General features: G+C 43.3%; 1 protein-coding gene across 2 annotated transcripts in view, besides 2 other annotated features; it reads left to right on the forward strand.

Moving 5' to 3' along the window:
• The window catches only part of WWOX (WW domain containing oxidoreductase), a 1,113,014-nt gene that overhangs the window by 635,004 nt on the left and 450,882 nt on the right, over positions 1-27,128 (forward strand). The gene's annotated exons all lie outside the window — the stretch shown is intronic.
• Positions 8,109-8,368: an enhancer, noted in NCBI's record as "active region_11155". NCBI's record gives its function as "activates an Ori minimal core promoter by ATAC-STARR-seq in GM12878 lymphoblastoid cells {active_cell/tissue: GM12878}" and the evidence as "EXISTENCE:reporter gene assay evidence [ECO:0000049][PMID:35858748]".
• Positions 26,756-26,825: a silencer, noted in NCBI's record as "silent region_7736". NCBI's record gives its function as "represses an Ori minimal core promoter by ATAC-STARR-seq in GM12878 lymphoblastoid cells {active_cell/tissue: GM12878}" and the evidence as "EXISTENCE:reporter gene assay evidence [ECO:0000049][PMID:35858748]".

The raw sequence follows: 27,128 nt of genomic DNA on the forward strand, positions 1-27,128 counted from the left end.
TGGGGTGTCTGTGAGTGTGTTTCTGGGTGAGGTGAACATTTAAATCAGTCACCTGATTACAGCAGATTGTTCTCAAGTGCCTGAGCTTCGTCTCATCAGCTGAAGGTCTGAATAGAGCAAATAGACTGACCCTACTTCAAAGAGAACTCCTTCTGCCTGATGACTCAGGTGGGGACTTCAGTCCTTTTTTTTTTTTTTTTTTTTTTTTTTTTTTTTTTTTTTTTTTGAGATAGGGTCTGGCTCTGTTGGCTAGGCTGGAGTGCAGTGACGCAATCTCAGCTCACTACAACCTCAGCCTCCCAGGTTCAAGCGATTCTCCTGCCTCAGCCTTCCCGAGTAGCTGGGATTACAGGCACCCACCATCATGCCCAGCTAACTTTTGTGTTGTTAGTAGAGACAGGGTTTCACCATGTTGGCCAGGCTGGTCTCGAACTCCTGACCTCAGATGATCCACCTGCCTTGACGTCGCAAAGTGCTGGGATTACAGGGGTGAGCCACCACGTCTGGCCTGACATCAGTCTTTTCCTGCCTTCAGACTTGAACTGAAGCATCAGCATTTCTTGTGTTTTGATCTTGCTGGAGTTGGACTGAAACTACACATCAGTTCTCCTGGCTCTCCACCTTGCCTATAGCGGATCTTGAGACTTTTTCTTATTTTATCTATCTATCAATCCATTGGTCATCAGGTTCTCCAGAGAATCAGAACCAATAAGAGATGTCATACACACCACACACAAACACACACACACACACACACACACACACACACTAATATGGTTCTGATTCTCTGGAGAACCCTGACTAATACAGAGGCAAGATCCTGTTTTGACGTGCTTGAACTCGAGGACTTATGCCGATGTTAACTCTGAGTGTTCCTGTTTTATACTCAGCCATACAGATGCTCAGAGCATACCTGCACAAGTCAACTTTTTGTGTCTGCAGGCATGGGCCTGCCCTGTACATGAGGAGACAGCAGACAGTTCCTCTCCCTGCTGCTGGCCTCTTCATCTTCTCCTGGCGTCACCACGGCCACCGTGATGCCTGGCTCAAGTACTAGTTCTATGTCAATGATGGTACCAATGGACTCTAACTTTAGAATGTTGTTGACTGAAGGCCCCTGCCCCCTGCCTTGCTTTAGGTGGAGGATCTGGTCAAGGCTTTGTGAATCAGGGGATGCTCCACACCTTTCTGCTCTCTGCAACAGGGCCAGGGATCTGAGTCCCTTCTTGTCTATCCAGAAACCGTATACCCAGTGTTCTCTTTCTCTCACCTCCGAATAGGTGGGCCTTCCCAATTTACCTGTGAGAAAACTAGTGTGCCACCTCAAGCGATTCTGGCCTCTGTTGACTGTCTGAACCCTGTGTTTTGTTGAGTGGTGCAGACTAGAGATGAAGACAGGGATTCGGCTTCGCTTGCTTTATCAAGGGAATGTTCTTGGGACAAATGTGTGACAGGTGAGGAAAACAACATAGGAAAGGAGACAGAAGTGAAGAGAAGATGTGGTCTCAAATGAAGTCTGGCTTCAGGTTTATCCTTGGGGGGCTCTGGAATAAAAATCACACCTCAAACTTGACCCGCTTGAGGCCAGAAGGCCGGGCTGTGGTACCTTCGTGTCGGACAGTCATAGGCTATCCTCATGGGGACCTGTATGTTGCCAGGTGTCTTGGGCAAGGTGGACAAGGATGCCAGCAAAGTGAAATTTTCCAGAGAAGGTCACAAAAGCTAGGAAATGGCACAGCAGCTGCTAAAAGGGGATCTGACCAGGCCACCAACAGCTTCTGCTTCTTCCCAAAGTCACCTTTGCTCTCTCCTGACCACCGTTGGTGTCTCAAAGTCTCACATGTGACAACACACATATCATCAAATTCATGAGTATCCATGGCACACAATGTTTTCCTTTTCTTCTCTTCTCTTTCTTTCTTGTTTTGTTTTGTTGTTTTATTTTGTTTTGTTTTACTGAGATAGGATCTGTCTCTTTCCCCCAGGCTACAGTGCAGTTGCGTGATATTAGCTCACTGCAGCCTCAAACTTCTAGGCTGAAGTGATCCTCCCACCTCAACGTCCTGAGTAGGGAGGGCACTACAGGCGCATGCCTCCACATCTGACTAATTACTAAATTTTTAAAAATTTTTTTAGACACTGAGTCTCACCGTCTTGCCCTGGCTGGTCTCAAACTCCTGGGCTCATACAATTCCCCTGCCTCAGAATCCCAAAGTGCTGGGATTATAGGCATGAGGCAATGTGCCCGGCCCACAATGGTTTTCATATAGCTATTGTGTATTGCGTTATTGCCTTAGTCACAGAAGCCCATAAAAAACAGATTCCAATAAAGAGACTAGGTTTGCAGAGTGATGAGTGGGGCCCTTGAAATAATTACATTTAGTGGGTTATATGTCTATTTTTTTGGTCGTTCCTTGCTCATCTGTCTTTATTTTTGTTTATTTATTTATTCATTTATTTGAGATGGAGTCTCACTCTGTCACCCAGGCTGGAGTGCAGTGGTATGATCTCGGCTCACTACAGCTTCCACCTCCCATGTTCAAGCTATTTTCCTGCCTCAGCCTTCTGAGTAGCTGGAATTACAAGCGCCCGCCACCATACTTCGCTAATTTTTGTATGTATATGTGTATATATATGTATATAATATATATATTTTTTAGTACAGATGCGGTTTCATCATGTTGATCAGGCTGGTCTCGAACTTCTGACCTCAGAATGATCCGCCTGCCTCAGCCTCCCAAAGTGCTGGGATTACAGGTGTGAGCCACAATGCCCAGCCTTATATATGTATTTATTAAGTTTGGGGGGAACAGGTGGTGTTTGGTTACATGAATAAGTTCTTTAGTGATGATTTCTGAGATTTTGATGTACCCATCACCCGGGCAGTGTATACTGTAGCCAATATGTAGTCTTTTATTCCTCACCCTACTCCCACCCTTCTCCCTGAGTTCCCAAAGTCCATTGTATCATTCTTCTGCCTTTGCATCCTCATAGTTTAGCTCCCAGTCTACAGGGTTATATTAAAAGAGGAAAAGGGGTATAAGAATCTAGGTATCATGGATGATGTCCTGGTCCTTTGCTGAGTCCCATTTTTTTCTTCCTCACCTGATTTCCCCCATCTGGCAGAAACTTTTACAGAGTGTTTGCAGAAGAGAAGCCTGTAAACTCTGGAGTGTGTCCTGGGTGGTTTGTCCTTGGGCCACTTTATTCCCTCACCGATCCCTTCCAAAGGCCATGAGTTCCCAGTCAGTCATTTCCCTATATCAGTATTTATTGTTTTAATCAATTTTCCCCATCCCAAGAGAAAGGCACCAACATGAGTCCATGTGTTTTAACATAGCAGGGGTTTCCCTGTCAGAGCCCGGTGGACTTCTGTGGCCATAAGCAAGTCAAGGTGGGCTCCTAAGTGGCAGCTGCCCACTTCCAGAAAGCTAGAGGTTCTAATTATGTCTTCCTGAAAAACAGTTCAATTAGGTAAAGTGACATTTTTTAAGCCCTTGTGTGTGTCCGACTCATAAAAGTTCAGAAGGTTGTTACTGAGAGGAGACTGCAGTCATTTTAAGATTTCAGTAGCTGCTGGAGTTGAGTAGATAATTTTTCCCCTTTCTAATATTATATATTAGGTGTGCTCTTGTGTCTGGGTGAAACAGAGCAATCACAATGATTGTTTTTTCAGTATGGTAATAATTAGGCATAAAATCAATATTTATGTGTAATGTGCCATTTGAAGATTCTCCCTGTGTATGATGCTGGGTTTTACAAAGGAAAATCTGGATTCAGGTGGCCAATGAAGTGTCACGATATAAAAAGAGAATTTTGAAATAATGAGAATTCCACTCCTTTGGGAGTATTGGCATATGTTAAAATACAAATATATCTGTATTTTTCTCACTTTTATTAGAAGAGTGCAAGTTTGTTCAAAACAACTGCTGGATTATCTAGTCCCTGAACAGCCATTTATATTTTTGTTACGCTTGTGGTTTTTAAATCATCCTCATTTCCTTGATCGCATTTGCTTCTCCTGGCTAGAATGTGTAGGAGACGGGTCGGGGAGACTGTGCCCATTTGACAGGTGTGAATGCGAACAGAGGCTGCAGCTGGTTAGACCAGGGCTGTGCAACCCTAGAGCCATTGCCTTGACCACAAAGCCACAGTCTCCTAGTCCTAATATTAAGAGGTAGGAGGTAGATAGAGATTGTCCCTTAAGCCACATTCCATTCTTCATATTTTTGTACCCATTAGAGTAGTGCTGATCATTTGCCTTCATTGCTGGGGTCCCCTAAATGCAACTTCTCATGCTGCCAATTTAGTCCTGGCCCTAGGAAGACGTAGGTGATAGGATAGAATTCAACAACTAGAAGCCATGGTTTCCTGGTTGGATAGACTTCCTCTGCCACCAGAATAAAGGAATAGAGGGTTCCTCACTGTGCCCCATAGCTGCAAAGTCACAGGAAGCTTGCAGCAGGCCAGTGGTAACCTCTGAGTGACTTCTGAGTTCCCAGAGCTAGGACCATGACTTTTCCCCTGGATTCTTAAGTACCCGGCTAAAATTGTGTTTGCCGAATGAAAGTGTGATCCTGGAGGCCATGTTGTTTGTGGTTCATGGAAGGGTGCTTGTTCAGCTTGGTCAAAGCAAGATGGTCATACTGGGTTTTGGTGCCCAGACGTTCCCAACACTCGCAGCAGAGGGCATTAGGATCATGTTTAGCCAACAATTTTGGAGGCACCCAACAGTGATTGGATGTCATGTGCTTTCAGAAGGCACACTACACATCTTCGGTTCCTCCAAGCTCTAGGAAAGGGTTGTGGAATTGGGTTGGGTGACAACAGGTCGGTAAGAAGAGGGCTGGGCTGAGTGTAAAGAAATTCCTTGGCTGGGCATGGTGGCTCACGCCTGTAATCCAGCACTTTGGGAGGCTGAGGCAGATAAATCACCTGAGGTTAGGAGTTCAAGACCAGCCTGGCTAACACGGATAAACCTCGTCTCTACTGAAAACACAAAAATTAGCTTGGCTTCCTGGTGCATGCCTGTAATCCCAGCTACTGCAGAGGCTGAGGCAGGAGAATCGCTTGAACCCAGGAGGCGGAGGTTGCAGTGAGCCGAGATCGTACCATTGCACTCCAGCCTGGGCAACAGGGAGAGATTCCATCTCAAAAAACAAACAAACAAACAAACAAAAACCCCAGATATTCCTTATTATGGAAGAAGAAGCAGGAAATATGTTTTTGAATAATCTGGGTCAGAGAATTGTGCATTTATTATTGCTAGGATGCATATACACATTGAACTCAGTCAACTTACTCTCTCTAAATTATCTCACCGGTGGAGACATTGCCTCAGGAGTCGAGCCCTGTGGTGTGCCTCCTGCTGTCACCACATTTGACCACCTAACTGACCCCACTGTGGTCACCTTTGCCACCTGCCCTGCTTTGGTCCCTTCTCTGCATTCGCCCCATGCCATGTAGCACTGCTGAGTTTGAAAATAATTGCATCTCCTGAAAACTCCATTTCTTAGAGAGTGAGCTCCAGCACCATCAGCCTGAAGTTGAAGAAATGGGACTCAGGAAGGCTGGAGTCTTCAGGCGTTCTTACAATGCTGATGCGACTCAGACGGCTGCCTGCACTGTCCTCTGTGCTTCTAAGTGAAATTACCCGTCGGGGGGCTCCTGAGAGTTAAATCAAGCAGCCTCTCTTGAAGCACAGTAAATGCTGACGTGATTTGTGAAGATGGCTCTGCTAATAGGGTTGGCAGCGTCCTTTGGCTTGGACCTTTGGACCCCGGCTGGCTGCGGAAGGGAGGGAAGGCAGCCTTGGAAAACTGATTTCCGTTGCCCTCTGACCATGAGAAGATCCCTGTTTAGGAGCTAGAATTCAGAGTTCCACGTGTAGAGGGGGATTCCACAGTGTGTGGTGTGCAGAGAGCACTCGTCTTTCAGGCATGGGGCGCCGTTTCATTTCTCCTAGTGCTGGAAGGGGACTTGGTGAAATTGATTTGGCAAAAAGGTTAATGTGTTGTTATGGCTGCCAGTTGGCCGATTGAAGCGCTAGTAATTGGGGCAAGGGAAGCATTCAATTTGACACACCAAATGCAGGTCCACCCTGGTGGATATCTTGGTTGCAGCACTCTGTGTGTGTACGTGTGTGCATGAGCGTGTCTTAGAGATGCTTTTGCTCCTCTTATAACTCCTATGATAAAAAGAGTTGCCATTATCATCCTTTGTCTACTCACCAGCCCCCACCAGAAACCCTCACAGAAAAAATAAGAGTTTATTTTTTCACTATGTCACATTGTTGGAGAACTGTGCAAATACAAGCCCTTCTCTTACAGGCCATGGGTCTCCTAAGTGGGATACACCACGATGATCCACTGGGGCAGTGGCCAGCAAAGTCCCTGTCCAGCCAGCCACTCGTTTTTATCAATAAATTTTTACTGAAACACAGTCATGCCTGTTAGGTTAGGAACTGCCTAGCGCCACTTCACACTGCAGTAGGAGAGTGAGTAGTTGTGACAGAGACCATTTATCCCACAAAGCCTAGAATCTTTATTATAATCCTGTAACAGAAAGCATTTACTGACTCCTTAGCATTGCCATGTTTAGCAAATAAAATTGCAGGATGCTGGTCAGGCGCGGTGGCTCACGCCTGTAATCCCAGCATTTTGGGAGGCCAAGGTGGGCAGATTACTTGAGGTCAGGAGATCGAGATCAGCCGGGCCAACCTGGTGAGATCCCATCTCTACTAATAATACAAAAAATAGCTGGCGTGGTGGCGCATGTCTGTAATTACAGTTACTCGGGAGGCTGAGGCAGGAGAATCACTTGAACCTGGGAGGCAGAGGTTGAAGTGACCCAAGATCACCACTGCACCCCAGCCTGGGCGACAGAGTGAGACTGTGTCTCAAAAACAAAATATCTGGCTGGGCACAGTGGCTCATGCCTGTAATCCCAGCACTTTGGGAGGCTGAGGTGGGTGGATCACTTGAGGTCAGGAGTTCAAGACCAGGCTGGCCAACATGGCAAAACCCTGTCTATACTAAAAATACAGAAATCAGTGGGGCATGGGGCGGGTGCTCTGTAGTCTCAGCTACTCAGGAGGCTGAGGCAGGAGAATTGCTTGAATCCAGGAGACGGAGGTTGCAGTGAGTTGAGACTGTGCCACTACACTCCAGCCTGGGCGGCAGAGTGAGACGCTGTCTCAAATAAATACATACATACAACATAAAGTAAGATGTTAAAGTAAATTTTAATTTTAGATAAACAATGGATAATTTTTTAGCAAAAGGATGTTCCACATTTAACTGGACATTATCTCTGTCTCTCTCCCTCCTTACCTGCCTCCTATCCTCTCTTCCCACCCCCTACGATGTCTATGTATAGTTTCAACCTGGCAACCCTGTGACCTCAGCACTAGGATATGGATAGAAAACATAGTAGCCCCTATTTACCTTTATCTTTTATCTCAACCCATTTAAATGTCTTTTCCTTGCAATGTTTTGTAATATTACATGTAGATTGTACATCGTTTGTCGATAAATCAGTGTACAAATACTAGGGGTGAGTGTGCTCAAAACTTATTTTTACTGATAATAGTCCATGATCAAGGCAGTTTGGAGACCACTCAGGACAGGGAAAACGCAGACTCATGTGACCCATCAGGGCTTCAGGGTGTCCTCTGGTGAAGGGCAGCAGCAGGACAGAGCCCCACTTCTAGCTCTGGCTCAGGTTAAGTGTTTCAGCGCCCTGGCTTCTGTGTCTTCATGTGCAAATGGAGATAATAGTCAGCACCTATGCAGGTTACTGTGAAAACAGGTTGGAAGTATTTATCTACAGCGTGGACCAGAGCCTCTGGTATGTACTAGGTGCCCTAGAAATGTTCTTTCCTCTGACTCAAATGACAAATCAGTTTCTAGGGAAAGGAACGCACAGCGATCCCCAGCGCATCACGAGAAATCTCTCTCCAGCTTTGCCCTGGCTGCGCTGGTGACTCACTCGGGGCTAAAACTGTTTATGTCTGCGGAGTCAGAGCGTTCTGCCCTGCGGTTTCAGTTCACATGGGGTTGGGCGACACAGTTTTGTTTTCACTTTGGTTTATCGTGTGAGTTTCCATCCATCAACTCTTTTGTATCTGATGTTCTTGGGAAACTTTGCGGGAATTCACTTGAAATTGTCCAGTGAACAGCCATTGCGAGTCTCATGGTCAGAGCCGGGGGCTTCCCAGTGTAGGGTCTGGTCAAGGAAAGGGCCACTTCCTGGGCCTCCCAAAAAGAGGAAGGAGAAGGCCCTGGCTTGTGGAAGAGTAAGAGGGGCCTCGTTAATGTCTCCCAAGCACAGTACCCCAACTCCCCACATACAGTCCCAACCCTTACTGCAGCCGGGAGGTTAGGTGTCTGCCGTGCTCATGAACAGGAAGTGAACCCGATCAGCCCCCGAAGGAAACATCCGTCTCTCTCCTTGGAGGAGACACTTGAGTGTCTTTCTCTGTGTGCTGCAGCCGTTATTGATATCAGTTCCCAGGCAAGGTTCATGCTGGCAGAGGAGGCCACTCTTTCTGCACTGGAGAGCAAAAGCCATCTTATCTCTCTGAGTGCAAGGTGACAGTGAGGAGATTGGCCCTGTGTATCCCTCAGAGACCAGTATTCCCTCATTTGCCAATCTAGAAAGAAGACTGTGTTTGCTGTCATTTGTTTCTTAACTCATTGATTCTCAAACAGAATCTTCCCAGGGATCTGCTTCATGCTGTATTTTGTACTGTGTCCTGAGATGATGAGGATTCGGTGTCTACCCTCAAGAAGCATCATTTAGAGAAGAAATTAGAAAAGTAAGTGAGGCAGGAGAACAGGATCTGGAGGCAGGGAATCTAAGGCTGATTCACGTTGACTTTGTATAATTAAATCAAAAGGAAAACACCAACTTTCCACAACTAAGTTATAAAAGGACCAGAGGCTACTCCCTCTGCAACCCCTCCCCACTTTTCTGAGTTGCAGATGGAAAATTGAAAGTACCCCTGATTGGTTGCTTTCCACGACCATTCAGCCGTTTGCATAGGAGCTGTAACTTTGTAACTTCGCTTCACCCTCTGATTGGTTGCTTTTCACAACCTATCAGACATTTGCATAGGAGTGTAACTTCTTTCCACAACCAATCTGACTGATTGTGGGCCATTACTTCATTTCCATGAGGTGTACACCAAGTGGCCAATGGGAGACCTCTATAGGGTATTTAAACCCCAGAAAATTCTTTAACCAGGCTCTTGAGCCTCTATGCTTGGGCTGCTCCCACCGTTTGGAGTGTACTTTCCTTTTCAGTAAATCTCTACTTTTGTTGTTTCATTCTTTCCTTGCTTTGTTTATGCGTTTTGTCCAATTCTTTATTCAAAACGCCAAGAACCTGGACGCCCTCCTCCAGTAACATAATGAATGTCTGGATGTGGTATGAAGAGTATTGGGGTACACCACAGCAGCGTGTGCTCTGAGAACACAGTAAACAGGCATTTGATACAGATCAGAAGGTCCGTAAAGGTGGTATTTGAACTAAGTTTTGAGAGCTGGGTAAGAGTTTGTGAAAAGACAGGGCTTAAGGAAGGATATAGTAAGCTGAAGGCACAGGACTTTAGAAACACATAGGCTATAACTGCAAGGTGTGTCTCAGAAGGTACATGTGACGTTTCATTTTTATTTGTTTGCTTTTTTATAGTGACTGCATGATCATTATATGCAGAAGACGCTTGAAGGGGCCAGATTAGGAAGGGCCCATGGTCCACACTGCTTTTTTTTTTTTTTTTTTTTTTTTTTTGAAACGGAGTATCTGTCTCTCACCCAGGCTGGAGTGCAGTGGCACAGTCTTGGCTCATTGCAACATCTGCCTCCTGGGTTCAAGCAATTTTCTTGCCTCAGCCTCCCGAGTAGCTGGGATTACAGGCACCTGCCACCACACCTGGCTAATTTTTGTATTTTTAGTAGAGATGAGGTTTCACCATGTTGGCCAGGCTAGTCTTGAATTCTTGACCTTAAGTGATCCACCTGCCTCGGCCTCCCAAAGTGCTGGGATTACAGGCGTGAGCCACTGTGTATTTCTATTACCAGCCTGCACTGCATTTCTATTACCCGAAAACAGTGTGGAAAATATTAATTACAAGGGAGATTAAAAAGTAAAACTGGTTGGTTGGCCTGAAGACCCACATGGTGACTTCACTAAAGTCATTGGGTAAGCAAAGAAGAGCAACACTCTAGTTTTCCTCCAAGCTTCAACGTTTTCTGTTTCCTCCTATGTCAGGTCTTAATTTCCCTACCTGATTCAGGCTGCGCTAAGCTGACTTCATCATGACTCCTGGCTTCCCCAGTCCCTGCTTCCCAGCACATACCATTTATTCAGTGTTGGCCAGTGACGCCTGCCACTGCATTTTATTGATGAAGAAATGGAGATCTCAAGAGGTAAAAAAAACTGACTATAGGAGCCAAGACTAGTTTAGAGTGGAGTTTGAATATGAACATGCCTCTGTCTGTGAAAGCCAGTGTCCCTTCAGCCAGGATCTTTCCTGGAAGAACTCAGTATTAAGGCACTTGATTAGTTCTTCCTGTTGGTGGACTGATTGATTACATTTGAATCTTTCAGCAAGCTTTTGGCTGAGCTGGGCATCTTCCCCGCCTTCCTCCACCTCTGCCTTCAAAAGCCTGAATTTCCAAGGCTTTCTGCCATGAGTACTTAGCTTTGAAAAACATGAGCATATTTTTCATTCTTCTTGCCGGCCTCTCCCTGTGTCATGCCTGTTATTCTTTTCTCCCTCAACATTGACCTAGGTCAGAAGGACCCTATTTTAATGTTTAGCGTTTGGGGGTCACTCCATAGAGAGGGGTTTGTGGAAATCCTTTTTTTTTTTTTTTTTTTTTTTGCTTCTTTCTGTGGATCTGTTTGGAAATGTAACATTTTAAAGCCCTTCTTGGCTGGAGGATTTTTTATGGTAAACATAAAACGTTCATTGAAACATTAAACATTTTACAGCTGTTTTTCAGCACATAAATTTTCATAGACATCCACCCCCTCACTGCCACACCCCCTCATAGATTTCTTCTTTTCCTCCTCCTTCTCCTCCTCCCTCTTCCTCCTCTTTTTCCCCCCCCTTCAAATAGTTCCAAGACCAGAGTTGAGGGTGGGTGGGTAGAGGGCTAGTTTACAGATAAAATGGTTGGTGTAGATCATCTAGTTTGGAAAAAGCACATTGTATTTTAATACTAGGAACGTGTGCATGCCAGAAACCTGCCAAGGAAAACACTCCCGCTGCTCCTTCCAGCCCTGACTCCAGCTGCTATGAACTGGAACCCTGCACCACGTCTCAGAAGGCTACTGGGAAGGGCCATAATCTGTATCCATCCACAAGGAGAGGTGGAGGGGGGCTACTCTAAGAAGCCAAAATGCTCAGGAAAGCCAGAGCTAAGATGGTGCAAACCAGCATGTGATTTGTCCAAGGACATCGTTTTGATATGATGAACCATGGGTGGTTTGGGCATTTGTCAAAGCAGGGTCAGCAGAAAGCTGACGTAGTTGGGTCTAAAGTACAACAGGACTGAGCATGGTGGCTCACACCTGTAATTCTAGTGCATTGGGAGGCCAAGGCAGGAGGATTGCTTGAGGCCAGGTGTTCAAGACCAGCCTTGGCAATATAGCAAGACATTGCCTGTACAAAAAATTTAAAAATTAGCTGGGAATGATGGTGCATGCCTGTAGTCTCAGCTACTTGGGAGGCTGAGGCAGGAGGATCAACTGAGCCCAGGAGTTTAAGGCTGCAGTGAGCCATGATCATGCCACTACACTCCAGTACACTCCAGGACTTTAGGCCTGCTAAAGTGCATTGTAGTAATACTAGATATCAGCACCCTTGCCATGGCCTCATGAGCAGTGAAATGAACTTTCTTGCTCCTGGATTTTTGGCTCTTGGCCTTGTAATTTTTTTTTTTCATGGGATATTAGTCAACATGATGTGAGCAGAGTCTTGAGATGTGCTTGCATGATTGGCTTTGTACTCCTGCATTTTTCCCATAGCCAATGCCTTTTCTTCAGCTTGGGCTGCAGAATGAGATAGATGAAACAGACCTGAATCTGACTTATACCCTGGAGCCATTTTCAGCAAACCCAGTCAATATCAGGCCAACCTCAACCAATTCTTAGACTAGTGAGTGAGGAAAATAAATATTTGATCTTGTGAACCCTTGAAATTTTGAGGTTGTTTGTTATGCGGCAGTATTTTGGCAGTAGCTGATGAATACACCACTCCCCATCCCTAGTGGCTTCCTATACCATTTAGAATAAAAATACACGCTCTTTTCCAGGGTCTACATGTCCTGAAGACCTGAACTCCTGCCTGCCTCTCAGTTTATTTCCTACCTCAAGTAGCTGTGCCCAATGTCCTCCCAATATCCTGCAACCACTCTAGTCTTCTTTCTTTTCCTGGGACCCACAGAGCCTATATCTGCTTCAAGGCTTTTGTACATGTTGTTTCTTTTGCCTGGGAAGAGTGGTGGGGGGCACTTTCTTGCCCATTTTTTTTTTTTTTTTTTGAGATGGAGTCTCGCTCTTGTCATGCAGGCTGGAGTGCAGTAGCACGATCTCGGCTCATTGCAACCTCTGCCTCCCGGGTTCAAGCAATTCTCTAGCCTCAGCCTCCCAAATTGCTGAGAGTACAGGCATCTGCGACCACACCTGTCTAATTTCTTATCTTTCTAACACAGTTTAAATATCACTTTCTCAGAGGCCTACCCTGACCATCCTACTTAAGTAACAATAATAAAATAAAAATACCCATCATTTATGAAGTGCTCATTATGTGCCAGCGTTCTTAGCATCTCCCAACAACCCTAGGAGACAGGCATTACAATGAGCCTTCGTAATGTTCAGATGAGGAAACTGAGGCTAAGAGAGCCTTGGCAAGCTGAGTTACTTAGCTAGCAAATGGTGGAGTCGAATTCAAACCCTGCCTCTCCTCACCCACTCTGTTTCTTTTCTTTTGAGCACTTACCACTTTCTGAATATGTATACAATTGTTTCCTCGATTACTGTCTGCCTCTTCTTCCCTAGAGCGTCAGCCCATGAGCTTATCCAGCCTACAGAGGAGATGCTGCAGCTTGGCAGAGCATGGATTGCTCAACATACCAGAGTTTAGTCCTACCTCTGTCTCCAAGCTGCTCCATGATCAAGGATAAACTATAATCTTTCTCTCTGCCTCAGTTTTTCCACCTGTCAGTGGAGGGGCATGCTCTTGGATGCCTGAGTTTTTCTTAGACTCAGCATCCTGCAGCCGAAATAACCATGCTTCTTAGTGGTCCTCTTGCGTAGCAGCCTAAGAAACTCCAAGTCCATCTGCGCCGAAGAGTATTGAACTTGGCCAGAGCACTTGGGATCTGCAGAAGTGTCCCCTGTCTGTTAGTTTTTTCACAGACTCTGCTCTTTCTCTCCCAGACCGGACCCTCCACTCCTCTATCTCGCATTTATCCATTGCACCCCGTGTCATTGCCGAATTCCTGAGCTACAAAGGTGAACAGGCACCAAAGCTAGGGCAGTGTCCACTCAATACATATCTGATGAATGAATGAATGAACCTTGTCTACCACAGATAGCTCACCACAAATAAACATTTTAATCTACTATAAAATAGCTCAAAAGACTCTATGCAAATAATTACTGTTACCCAGTGGTGGAAGTGCTTCACTTTTTATGGAAAGTCTTTCACTCATTTCTATCTGCAGTATTTACTGGGCATTTTTCCACGCCAAGCCCTGGGGATACAGAGTTAAATAAAATAGAAGCTTAATCCAGGCATGCTGGCTGTAAAGTTCACCTTTCGGCTCCTTTCTGCCATTCTTATTAGGGTCTTGCCCCATCTTGGCAGCAAGCCTGCTTTACCATTGGAGACCTCAGCTCTGATTACAATACGTCCGTGATCAACATGCCCTAACTGGTTAGCAGATGGCAGCTGCATGAAGTCACTGGGCCCAGATAGGAATCAACAAGGGAGATTAGGTAAAGTGCTTATTTGAGGTGCTGTCAGGGCCCGTGGCAAAGGGTTCCCTCATTCCCTCTGCAGTTATTTTTCATGCACACTCGGATTACACTGCTCGGTGATATTACATCTGCATGCGTCTTGCCCTCTGACACGGCAAACACAGATGCTGCCCAAATCCTTGTAAAGCCATATATCTTAAGTAGGAAGGAGCATCTTTGCAGGGGAGGTGAATTGATTTGCAAAGCAGCCTGACACATGGTCTCTTATTTCTCCTTGCAATCAAATAATTCATCTTTATGCCCGTAGGGCCGTGGTGAAATTTGAACCTGACCAAATCAACGACTGCAAGGTTTATTTGTAGCAGTGGGATCAGAGAAATTAGCCAAGTGTATTCTAAAATTATCAATTGCTGATCACATGGTCTGGATGTGTTTTAGTGCTTAGGGGTTGGTGGACCGAGGCTATGGTGGCATAGTCCTCCATGACCAAGGGCTGTCTGCATGGGTACGCAGATAAAACATGCACTGCCATGGGGTGACCTGTGTGCCATGCATCACACACAGACTACTGTTTAACCACCTACATCATAGGTAGATCCTGCATTTTACAAATGAGGAAACAGAGCTCGAGAGAAGTTCAATCCTCTTCCCTACAGAGAGGAAAGGGGAAAAAAATGGACTTTCAAGACAGCTGAAATTCAAAACAAAACAATGTTTTAAAATTGAATACAGCCTTTTGCATTAAAATTACCATTTTAATAATAGTTTAAAAGAGAGAAAGAGAGAGACCCAAAATAGTCAAACTGAGGTTTTGGGTTCTGGTGATAGAATATTAAATCATAATGAAGCATTTAATGTTTTGTTGTTGTTACAATTGTTGTTTTACCCTAGGGCTATGCAAAGTAGTTTAAGGATGTATTTATTTCAGTGGGGAAAAAAAGTGGAGGATATACATTTGGAGGATAAGGAAGCATGAATTAGGGTGGAGGAAGTGTTTTCTGGTCTAGCTAAGGAGGAAAAATTATAGACCTCAAAATAGGTGTCATTTAATATATATCTGTGAAAATGGGCCAAATAGATTGCCTCCGTTAAAGCCGTATTGGATGTTCAAATCTCGAGTTACCTGAAATGCAACTGTACTTCCTATATTTAACCAGGCTTTTTATAAACTGTTCCTCTTAACACCTCAAGCTGACAACCACATCCTGGGTGGTTATTTAATACCAAGTTTGACTTTCTTCACTTTGAGGGTCCTCAAAATAGAAGGTCAGAGAGTAGACTTTTAAAAGTCTTGCACTGTTTACAAGTCAGATGCTTTTTGGCAGAGTGACTCTCAGCTCCCCCCAACAATCCCTTCTTGTCGTTCAGTAGTAGATAGACTCTATCAGGGAAAAATAGGAGAAATAAAATAAGACAGCATATGGAAGGCATTGCTGAAAGTCTTTTTCACACCTTAAAAACAAGGAAGAAGAGAAATGAAAATAAAATAGTGAGCAACACCTCGGTGAAAGTAGAGGTGTTTGTACAGTTCAGCTGCTGCCTTATTCAAAAACAGGAAGAAAAACCCACTGCCCAGGTCAGCTGGTGGGTGATCTCCACTGAACTCCTATTCAGAGGCTCAGTTTCTCTGCAGGACAGAAATGAGAGGCACAAAATTTCATAGCTGTCTTGCCCCTCCTGTGGTCTGTAAGAATGGGACCAGGACTCCTAGTTGTGAACCCGAAAGGATTTCCATTAGGATCAGGAAGTGTGAGTTGGCTTAGAAAAAGTAAAGAAAGAACAGTGCTGTTTCATTTATTTATCATGTGTAAGTAAACTGGGATTTATTTTATTTTATTTTTTATTTTTTGTTTCAGTTTCGGGGGGTACATGTGTAGGTCTGTTACATGGATATCTTGCAAGATACTGAGATTTGGGCTTCAATTGAACCCATCACCCAAATTAGTAAACATAGTACTCAATAGGTAGTTTTTCAATCCTTTTCTCCTTCCCTCCCTAGTCCCCCCTTTTGAAGTCCCCAGAGTCTATTGTTCCTGTCTTCATGCCCATGTGTACGCAGTGTTGAGCTTCGACTTGTAAGTAAGAACATGCGGTATTTGGTTTTCTGTTTCTGCATTTATTCGCTCAGGATAATGGCTTCAAGCTGTATCCACGTTGCTGCAAAGAACATGATTTTCTTCTTTTTTATGGCTGTGTAGTATTTCGTGGTGTATACGTACCACATTTTCTTTAACTAATCCACCATTGATGGGCACTTAGGATGATTCCATGTCTTTGCTGTTGTGGGTAGTGCTGCCAAGAACGTGAGTGCAGGTGTCTTTTTAGTAGAGTGATTTATTTTCCTTTGAATGTATACCCACTAATAAGATTGCTAGGTCAAATGGTAATTCTATTTTTAGACCTTTGAGAAATCTCCAATTTATTTTTCATAGGGACAAGGTTGCAGAGAAAAGAGAAGAGTGCTGTTTCAAACAGTTGAAACCATTCCTACTTCCAAAAAGAATTTGACTCAAAAGGGAATAGTACACTACATATAAAAGACAGATGTATTTAATTTGTGTTTCGAACTACATATCAGAAATTAGTTAGAAGAAGATATGAGATAAATATACCTGGAAACTTTATGAATTATTTCTGACATCTAGCATTAAATTTAGCTGGGTTTCCTGGGAGTCAAAAGCAAAGAGTTTTCAACCAAAAAAAAGAAACAGAGGTGTATAGTAACACACCTCTGTCCTGCAACATAACTGTAAGAATTTATCAGATTATATATATATATATTTATCAGATTATATATATATTTATCAGATTTTATATATATATATATATATATATATATGCATATGTTTGTATATAAATATACATGTAAAGACCCAAAACTCATATAAAAAGACAAGGTGATACAGCATTTTAAAACAGTTTACTAAAAATAACAAAACATTCTTCCATCAGTCATGCATGCCTTATATTTATGTAGATACAAAAATAGAGTTTGATATTAAACAATACTCCAAGAAAGCCATTTCTGCAGAGTTAAAAAATACGTAGGTTCAGTTCCTTACCAACACGTAGACATGTTGTGATGAAAGAAGGAAAGGAAGGAAGGAAGGAGGAAGGGAAGAAGGAGGGAGGGAGGGAAAGAGAGAGAGAGAAAAGGAAGAGAAAGGATTTTCTAGAAAAAGAAAGGAAGGAGGGAGGGAAGGTAAGAAAGAAATTAATTCCCATTTTAGAGTAAGACTGGAGGCAGAGTGGTCACCCAGATGAAAATGAATAACCCAACTGTGTCTTTCTTCTGGTGCCTCCACGTGGAAGTGGGCTGCCACAATACTTCTAAAGAGAATTGGCATTTTTCTTTAAATAAGGAGGAGGATGAGGAGAGAGACGACACAAAATTCACTCACAGAAGTGAACATAAATTCTAACATTGGTAAAACTTTGTCTTTGTTTTAAATAATCAGTCAGTTGTCTCAATCCATAAAAGAGTATCTCTTGTACAATGTCTGCTTTTGAGTGATTCACTTCGATGCGTACTGAAAATATACCTTTAAGTAGTTGAGTGACTTGAAATATTGGTAAATGTTCTTTAATATTTTGTCTGTCAGTGTTAGAGACTATCAGGTTAAAACAAAGATATTCTTTCTTTCCTTTTTGTTTTTGACGGAGTCTCACACTCTGTTGCCCAGGCTAGAGTACAGTGATGCGATCTCAGCTTACTGCAACCTCTGCCTCCTGGGTTCAAGCGATTCTTCTGCCTCAGCCTTCTGAGTAGCTGGGATTACAGGCACACACCACCACACCTGGCTAATTTTTGTATTTTTAGTAGACACGGGATTTCGCCCTGTTGGCCAGGCTAGTTTCTAACTCCTGACCTCAGGCTTCCCAAAGTGCTGAGATTACAGGTGTGAGCCACCATGCCTGGCCAAGAATATTCTTTCTAATATGATTTAGCTAACAGGTTCAGCAGATTTTTAAACTCACTTTCAAATCATGATAAAATTCTTTAAGATAAACATTTGTCTTCTGTTTTCCCCTGAGAGTGGTTTAGCATTTATGGAGCCCTGCTTTGTGCTAATGAGTTTATATGCCCTGTCTTCTTTAATCTTCACCACAACTTTATGTAATAAGTAGTCTCCAATAAATTTAATCACATAATTACTTAAATGGCCTGGCGAGCCGCCTTACCTAGCTGGCCAGGAATTCCAGGAGTCAGGCTTCCTGATCTAAATCTGTCCTGGTCCCATCTTGGCTGGGTGCCACCAGCAGCAACGGCACACTCCAGCTTAAATATCAGTGGGGATAATTCTAGGCCGTTTGTCTGCCTGGTTCTTCCAGGATAGAGGCAGTGATTTCAGTAATCTCTTAGGGCTGGGCACGGTAGCTCACGCCTATAATCCCAGCACTTTGGGAGGCCGAGGCGGGTGGATCACCTGAGGTCAGGAGATGGAGACCATCCTGGCTAACATGGTGAAACCCCGTCTCTACTAATAATACAAAAACAAAATTAGCCGGGCGTGGGGGCAGGCGCCTGTAATCCCAGCTACTCTGGAGGCTGAGACAGGATAATGGTGTGAATCCGGGAGGCGGAGCTTGCAGTGAGCCGAGATTACACCACTACCCTCCAGCCTGGGCGACAGACTCCAGCCTGAGCGACAGAGTGAGACTCCGTCTCAAAAAAAAAGAAAAAAGAAAGAAAGAACCTCTTAGGCAACTCTCATTTCATTATCCAGGTACAAAGACAATGAGTAAGAAGAGTATTGGGGTTGGGAGGACCAGTCACCCCTGTGTCTTAAGATACTTCTCAGTTTTCTTTGTTGCAGCAAATATTACTGCAGAGTTTTAGTGCATTATAGCCTTCTTAAATAAAACTTGCCCAGGTGCAGTGGCTCATGCCTGTAATCCCATCACATTGGGAGGCCAAGGCAGGTAGTTTGCTTGAGCCCAGGAGTTTGCGACCAGCCTGGCTAACATCATGAAATCCCATCTCTACAAAACATAAACAGAAATTAGCTGGGCATTGTGGTATGTACCTGTAGTCCCAGGTACTCAGGAGGCTGAGGTGGGAGGATTGCTTGAGCCTGGGAAGTCAAGGCTGTAGTGAGCAAAGATCACACCACTGCAGTCAAGCCTGGGTGACAGGGCAAGACCCTATATCAAAAAAAAAAAAAAAAAAAAAAAAATATATATATATATATATATATATATATATGTATATGTATATGTATATATAAATTTAAGGAAGCATAGAATTGAAGAGGCTATTCCAAGGTCACATGACTTTTAAGTGGCAGAAACAGGGGAATTCTGTCTAACACAATCCAATTTATCCATCTCAAGAAAAGAGATATGCCAAAGAGAATGATTATTAAATTATCATTAATGTGAACTCTTGTAATTACTCTCATAATTTTCTTTAGGCTTATCCCATTGGGCATTGCTAAGTATTATTAGATTGTGATTATAAATGGATTCCGCCAGGCATTTCTCTTTTGCTCTGTGGCAGCTCTTTCTCTAGAGAACTTGGTCCCTGGGGATGCCATCTTCTCTGTCTTCACTCGGTGAGGATGGACTTTAGGATGCCTCACTTCTCTTCCTGAGATTCTTGCTTCCTTCTTCCTTAAGGGCCACTGATGAGCAATCAGTGAGTTTCAGGAAGAAGGCATTCAGGCTGATTTCAGACAGCCTAAGGTCAGTGTGCAAGTTAGTATGTACCTGTGTCTTATTATTGAACTGGTGAATGAATGAATGACTAGGTCATTATGAATTTGTAGATCAGGGTTTTGAAGAGTTTGGCACCGGATTTGAAAGCCAATGTTCTCTTAGTACCTACCGCTTTCTTTTCCTCACCTTCCTGGATTTCCTGCTCTTAAGGTTTTTTGTTTTTGTTTTTCTCTCCAAATAAATGGTATTTATTAAATAAAAATTCATTTTCTCATTTATCAACCAGTTGCAGTCTTTGGATGTTTTAATTATATAAAAAAAGCATGGAAACTGGGCATTTTAATTAGCAAGTACAGCCTTGACACAAATAAAGGCATGGCTTTGGTTATGCAGTGCATTTATTTGGTTTTCTTGAAATAAGAAAAAAAGATTTCTTCTCCATCACCAGAGTTGCTGAGTTTGACAGTGTGAATGAGATGACCTCTAAGGCCTCTACTTATAGATCTGCACGGTTGGGCCTGGGAGCTGTACTACCTCAGCTGGTGGGTGATAACTTACTCACAGTCTGTGCTGTGTCCTGCACTGTCCATTATCTGCAGGGGTGGTACTGCTGTCCCCAGGGAAGAGAATGCTGTCCACAAAGAGCCAGCCATTTATACTATTAAAAGAATACACAGGAGTTGAACAATGAGAACACGTGGACAACGGGAGGGGGGAACATCACACACCGGGGCCTGTCTGGGGGTAGGGGGAAAGGGGAGGGAGAGCATTAGGACACATATCTAATGCATGCGGGGCTTAAAACCTAGATGACGGGTTGATAGGTGCAGCAAACCACCATGGCACATGTACACCTATGTAACAAGGCTGCATGTTCTGCACATGTATCCCAGAACTTAAAGTGAAAGGAAAAAAAAAAGTTTCATCAAAAAAAAAAAAAGAAAAAGAAAACACCGGAAAAAAGAGACTCTCTTCCTTGAAGGATTTAATTCCAGGAATTGGAGAATGTCTTGTACATTTCGAGAAGGCAATATAGAAAATGCAGTGGGTAGCCCAGGACTCCTGGTCCAGGTAAAGCAGGCCTTGTTGCTATTCCCCTGGACCATGATATTACATGTTGGGATGATGGGGTCTTGTGATACTGATTAATTTAAGGCTGCATGATGATGAGGGAGGAACAAAGATGTTCTTGAGTCAGTACCTGCCAGAGTGGCTGTATCCTGGTGTTGTAATATCAAATAATTCTACATTATTTAGTAAATAGCCCTGCCCGAAGCCTCTCAGTGCCACACACCCACTGGGATTCCTGTGTGATTTGTCACCTGGAGGAACATCACCTGCCTTGGTTGGGGAGAGGAAGCCTCAGGACCCTGCACCAGGGCCATGTGACAAATACCCATTTTGATAGTTCAGTACCCGCTATTAAATATGCCGAATATTATTCCTGAAAAGGGGCATGGGGATAATTACAAAAACATACCTGGTTCCACTCTCACTTTCGCCATTTAATAGCTTTGGGTCTACAAGTAACCACCCCAGATTTTTCTCCTCCTCTATGCACCAGTCATATCAAGAATTACTGTAACTTCATAGGATTTTTGTCAGGACGCTATGATGAGAAGAACATATGCCAAGGAGACAGTTTTCTGGCAAATCAGAGGCCTGTAAGAAATGATGGCTTTTTGCTTGTATGACCAAGTCTCTTGGAGACAAGGCCTCATGTATGAACTCTGAGGCATGAGAAGGCTCAGAATTCACCCCATCTTCAGTCTTTTATTTGAAAAAGGGAAGAATGATGGAAAGGGGAGGAGAGAGTATATAAAACACGAACGGGGATCCTAGAGACTTGAATTTCTAGTATGTACTGCCTCTGGCTAATAGGGATCTTTGACACATACGCTTTTTCTCCCTTTCCAGCTGGCCCTGTTGCTTAAAGTGGCAGAAGTAGATGTCATGTTGGCAGACAGTTTTGTTCACTGTCAAAACTGGGTTTATCTAATGTGTATTTGAAACAAACAAAAAAAAATCAATAAAATGAGCAGCTTTGGGAGCCAGGGTGAAGGCGGTTGAGATAGGACAGAACTCCAGAGGACTCTTAAACATTATTCAGGAAGCTCTGAAGCTCCCTCAGTCTGGGATTCCAGAAAAAGATTGATTAGGCAATAGTTTACCTTAGACCATGAGGAGATGGACTTTAGCCAGAACACACTGAAAAACACGAGAAAAGTTGGAAGAAGGAATTATTTTTAGTGTTCTGAGAATGCTTTATTGATATTCCTATGAGAGTTTCATTGGTTACTGACGCTGTGTACTGATTGGGTAAATTCTAGCATTTTTACACTCCTTTGTTTCACCCTGTTTGTTCATTCATTCTTCCGTTAAACTACCATTAAGCAACTACCATATCTAATTTTAAGGTGGTGGACAAAGAATCAAACCTAAGTTGGGGAATGTGGCCTCTGGTGATTCTCAGTTCTTGGTAGCCATGTCTCAGCATAGTCTTCTCGGACACCTAATACTACTGACCTGTATAATCGATAGGGTATTGCAGACATCAGAGCATGTGACTTACGAGGCTAGACCATAAAAATATTGAGGCTTCTGCCTTACTGATGTGGATCATTCACTCTAGGAAAAGCCAGCTGCCATGTTGGGAGGATACTCAAGCATACCCGTGTAGAAGAACTGAGCCTCCTGCCAACAGCCATGTGAGTGAACCACGTTCGAAGTTGATTCTGCAGCCCTAGTTAAGCCTTGAGGTGATTGCAGCCTTTGCTGCAATCTTGACTGGAACTTTATTTGAGCCCCTATCTAGAACCACCGAGCTAAGCTGCTCACAAGTTTCTGCACCACAGAAATTCTTGTGCGAGATAATAAAAGTTAATTATTGTTTCAGCCCACTTAGTTTTGGGATAATTTGTTATACAACAGTGGATAACTGCCCATTCAAAGAGTCTAAACCATTAACTGTTCAGCATTAGGTAAGAAAACCAGTTAATTGTTACTTTCTTACCACCTACCCCAGCACCCCAGCACCCCAGCACCCCAGCATGACCACCATTTAGAGGGAGCTGCGCTTTTGCAAAGGTACATAGGACACTGTCTGTTGCTTCTGTACCTCTTGCCTCATCAGTTAGTGGTGTGATGTGTTTGCCTGACAAATACCATCTAGGACCCTGGCTGCATGAGCTTGTTGAGACAGCTAAATTTTACAGGTAGTTGGGGTTTCACCATTTAACCCAGTTAACTCTTCTATAAGTGCCGTATTAAAGCAGGTGGTGTATTTTGAAAGACGTATGTAAAAACATTTGTATTTATTTATATGAATGAATACATTTTATTTATTTATATAAATACATTATATTTATTCACATAAACACATTTTATTTATATAAATAAATCCATTTTTATTTATTTATATAAGTAAATAAATTTTCCTATAAATAATCTTTCTGATTGACAGATAGCGACCTTCCTGCTATGTCCTTACATGACAGAGGAAGAGATCATCTTTCTTCAGCCTCTTCTGACAAGTCCACCAGTCTCATTCATGAGGGTTCCACTCTCATGACTGAAGTACCTCCTAAAGGCTCCCCCTCCTAATAATATCACCTTGGAGATTAGGGTTTCCAAATATGAGTTTGGGGGGACACATTGATTCCACAACACTGACCTTCTATCAGATCAGCCAGGATGCTCTTTTTCAAACTTCTGTCAATCTTTCCCCACCTTCACAATGTGCCCCTATTATTATTAATATTTAAAATATTGAAGATCTAATTAATGTTGAAATTTTTCTTTAAATCAATTCATAGATTCATTAACTTTGTTTTAAAAGGAAATGTTCTATTTCCATCGTAAAGGGAAGATCAATATGATTTGCCACATATAGATGAAGATAAACCTATATACAAAGAAAATAGAACTATAGTAATTCCATGTAGCTATTATTACCAGAGAATACTCTAAGCCCAATGCTTGTGTTCTCTTTGGGCAAATGGAAGATGAGCCACTTGTAGAGAGGTATTAAAAACCAAAGCAAGATCTTTTGCAAGTAGATTAATTGGGCAAGACAAAGGGAATAATAACTATGTCACCAAAATTATTTAATGCAGGGTCCAGGAGCCACCTTAATCATCCATAAATTGGTTAGGCATGTTTATTACCACAGATTGGAAGCAGGCTTCCCCCAAGTGTGTTTCCCTTTGTAATGCCAGTGTCGTAACGCCACTATCTATACTTTTCAACACAATTCCAAGTGCTACCTCTGCATGGCAGAAACTATCAACCGTGGATGGTTTCTTTTTAGCTTGTCCTTCCCGTTCTACAGCATGGAGGTTAAGAGCTCTGGCTTTGGTTCCAATCGTGTCCCCTTTCCTCCCTGTGTGTTATTGATTGACCTCTCTGAGCCCATTGATAAATGGAGTTAAAAATTTATACTCACTGGGGTGGTGAGAAGGTTAAGGGCAATGATGTATACAAGACATTAGCATTTGCTATAAGGAGGATGTATCTCAGTTGCCATATTTGTATCACTAACCATTTGAAGATTTTGTGTTCAAGATTTGGAAGAGAATCTTCTTCCCAAGCCAGCATTTTATATTTTGCATTAAAAAAAACCACAAAAGACAAAAAAAAAAAAAACAAAAAACCTTCACAGACAAAACCCAGGGCATATTTTAGGTGTGTTTAATTCGAAGCTCCTGATGTCTAGCAGGAACCTGGAACTTCCCTTTCTATTTTTGTGGGTCAATATATTCCCACTTTTGATTTAAGGTAGTACAAGTTGTATATGGGTGCCAGTTAGGGATTCCTGGCTGATCTGTGCAATTTTTTCAGTGAAGTTATATGTGGTGCTTAGTGGTGACTATGGGAAGATTACACGGAGAAGTGTTAGAACAGGGTAATCAACTGGGAACCCATTTCAGGTGAATGCCAAGATGTTTTGAAGGTGGGCATGGCAGGGAAATAACAGGATGCCATGCTTGGTGAGAAATGAATTCGTAAGTGTGCACTGTCTGCCATAAAGAGCCAGGCAAGGCACAGAAAATATTCTTCTGTTTCTTTTTCTATTCTACCCTCTCTCTGCTTTTTCTTCTCTCACTGCTGCTGAAGCAGTGAGAGCCTGTTGAGTTAAAATAAGCCAGTGAGGATTTTGGTGGTGTTTGCCCTTGAAGCCTCTTGACATACAGTGTCATCAAGGAGCAGTGGGTGAGCCTGCCCATATCTCGGGCACAAACCTAGGTACTCATTGAATCCTTTAAACTAACCCTCTAAAGAATTCTCAATCTGTGGATGAGAAATGGCAACACAGGGATGTTAAACTGCATGCCTACAATCATCCATTTGGAAGAAGCAGGGCTGGAATTTGAACATGAGACTGTATGCTCCCTGTTGTAGTTTCCTATGGCTGCTGTAAAAAGTTAGCACAAATGCAGAGGCTTAAGACAGCACAAATGTCTTATCTTACAGTTCTGAAGGTTTCGCTCCAGAGTGAGTTTTATGGAGTGAAAATCAAAATGTTGGCAGGCCTTAGGGGAGAGTCCATTCCTTTCATCTTCCAGTCTCTAGAGGCTGCTGGCATTTTTCAGCTCACGGCCACAGCACTCTAATCTCTGCTTTCACTATCCCTTCTTTTTTCTGTGACTCTGACCTTCTTGCTTCCCTCTTACAATGACCCTTTTAATTGCATTAGGCCCACCAGGCTCATCCAGGATGTATTTGTCTGTGTTCACACTAGTGATAAAGACATACCCAAAACTGGGTAATTTATCAACAAAAAGAGATTTGATGGACTCACAGTTCCATGTGGCTAGGGTGGGTGCACAGTCATGGCGGAAGGCAAAAGGCACATCTCACACGGCAGCAGACGAGAGAGAGTGACAGCCAGGTGAAGGAGTTTCCCGTTATAAAAACATTAGATCTCATGAGACTTATTCACTACCATGAGAACAATATGGGAGAAATCGATCCTGTGATTCAATTATCTCCCACCAGGGTCCCTCCCACAACATGTGGGAATTATGGGAGCTACAATTCAATATGAGATTTGGATGGGGACACAGCCAAACCATATCACAGGATAGTTCCCCATATCAAGGTCCTTAACTTAATCACACTTGCATTTGATTTTATCATGCAAGGTAGCATACTCACAGGTGGGATTAGGACTTAGACACCTTCAGCAAGAAACATTACTCAGCCCAACACACTCCTCAAACCTAAGCTTATTCCCAATCACACAGTCAGGAGAGGATGCCCACAATGCACTTGGGGTTTTGTGTCTGTGTCTCCCCTCCAAGAACAGGTACTTGCCCTTGTCTTTGGAGCTCACAGCCAAGTCCTACAGTCAGCATCAGACGGCTTGTCTCAAGCTGCTGATTTCCGGGAGCAAAGCTGCTGTGGGACATGAGACTCTTTGAGGCAGAATACCTCTCATGCCTGGAGAGCATTACAGGCTGCATTAGTCTGTTTTCACTCTGCTGATAAAGACATACCCAAGACTGTGCAATTTACAAAAGAAAGAGGTTTAATGAACTCACATTTCCCCATGTCTGGGGAGGCCTCACAATCATAATGGAAGGGGAAAGGCGCATCTCACGTGGTGGCAGAGAACAGAAGAGAGCTTGTGCAGGGAAACTCCGCTTTATAATACCATCAGATCTCATGAGACTTATTCACTATCATGAGCATAGCACAGGAAAGACCCTCCCCCATGATTCAGTTATCTCCTACCAGGCCCCTCCTACAACACGTAAGAATTATGGGAGCTACAATTCAAGATGCGATTTGGGTGGGGACAGAGCCAAACCATATTACAGGCTAATGACTGAGCGGGGGCTGTTTCTTGTTGTGTTCTTATAAGAACTATTGCATTTTCTTTTTCTTCCAAATATAGTTAATGGCCTCATCTTTTCTGGACTAGGTTTGTAGTAGACCATAAGCAAAAGAGTTCAGAAAGCACGGCCTCCAAGAAGTCGGATCTGCTTGTCTTTATCAATCTGTTTGGATTTTCCTGGCCCATTTACTCACAAATTTAAAAGACATGATGAGTTTTCAGGGAGAACTCTTTAGCATTTACATTTTAATTTAGTTTTGTTTACCTGTTTAGTGCCCTCTCGGTTCCCAGACCATCAAACTCACCATTGTCACCGGGGAGAAATTTGTGTTGGCTGAAATCTGTAGTGGTTGGTCTGCTGCTTTTCTTTCTCTGCTCATCTACCCTGATAGTTTCCCTGTGGTTTGTGGTGGGCTCACAGCTCTTGACCTCAGGACTCTCGCTGGTCTAGAGGAGATTGGTTTGTGGGGGCGTCTGACATGTTTGGGTTCTTTGTGACATCTGGGCCACCCGGTTGAGTCTGACAAGAAACACTTAATACCTCCTTGGCTTTGAAGCTCTCCTTTGTGGCACTACAAGGTCCTCTTTGAAATCCCACATTCTTTTTTGGATTTAGGTATTAACCCCTTGGTGTGAGGAG

Source organism: Homo sapiens, chromosome 16 (genome assembly GCF_000001405.40).
Source record: "Homo sapiens chromosome 16, GRCh38.p14 Primary Assembly".
NCBI lineage: Eukaryota > Metazoa > Chordata > Mammalia > Primates > Hominidae > Homo > Homo sapiens.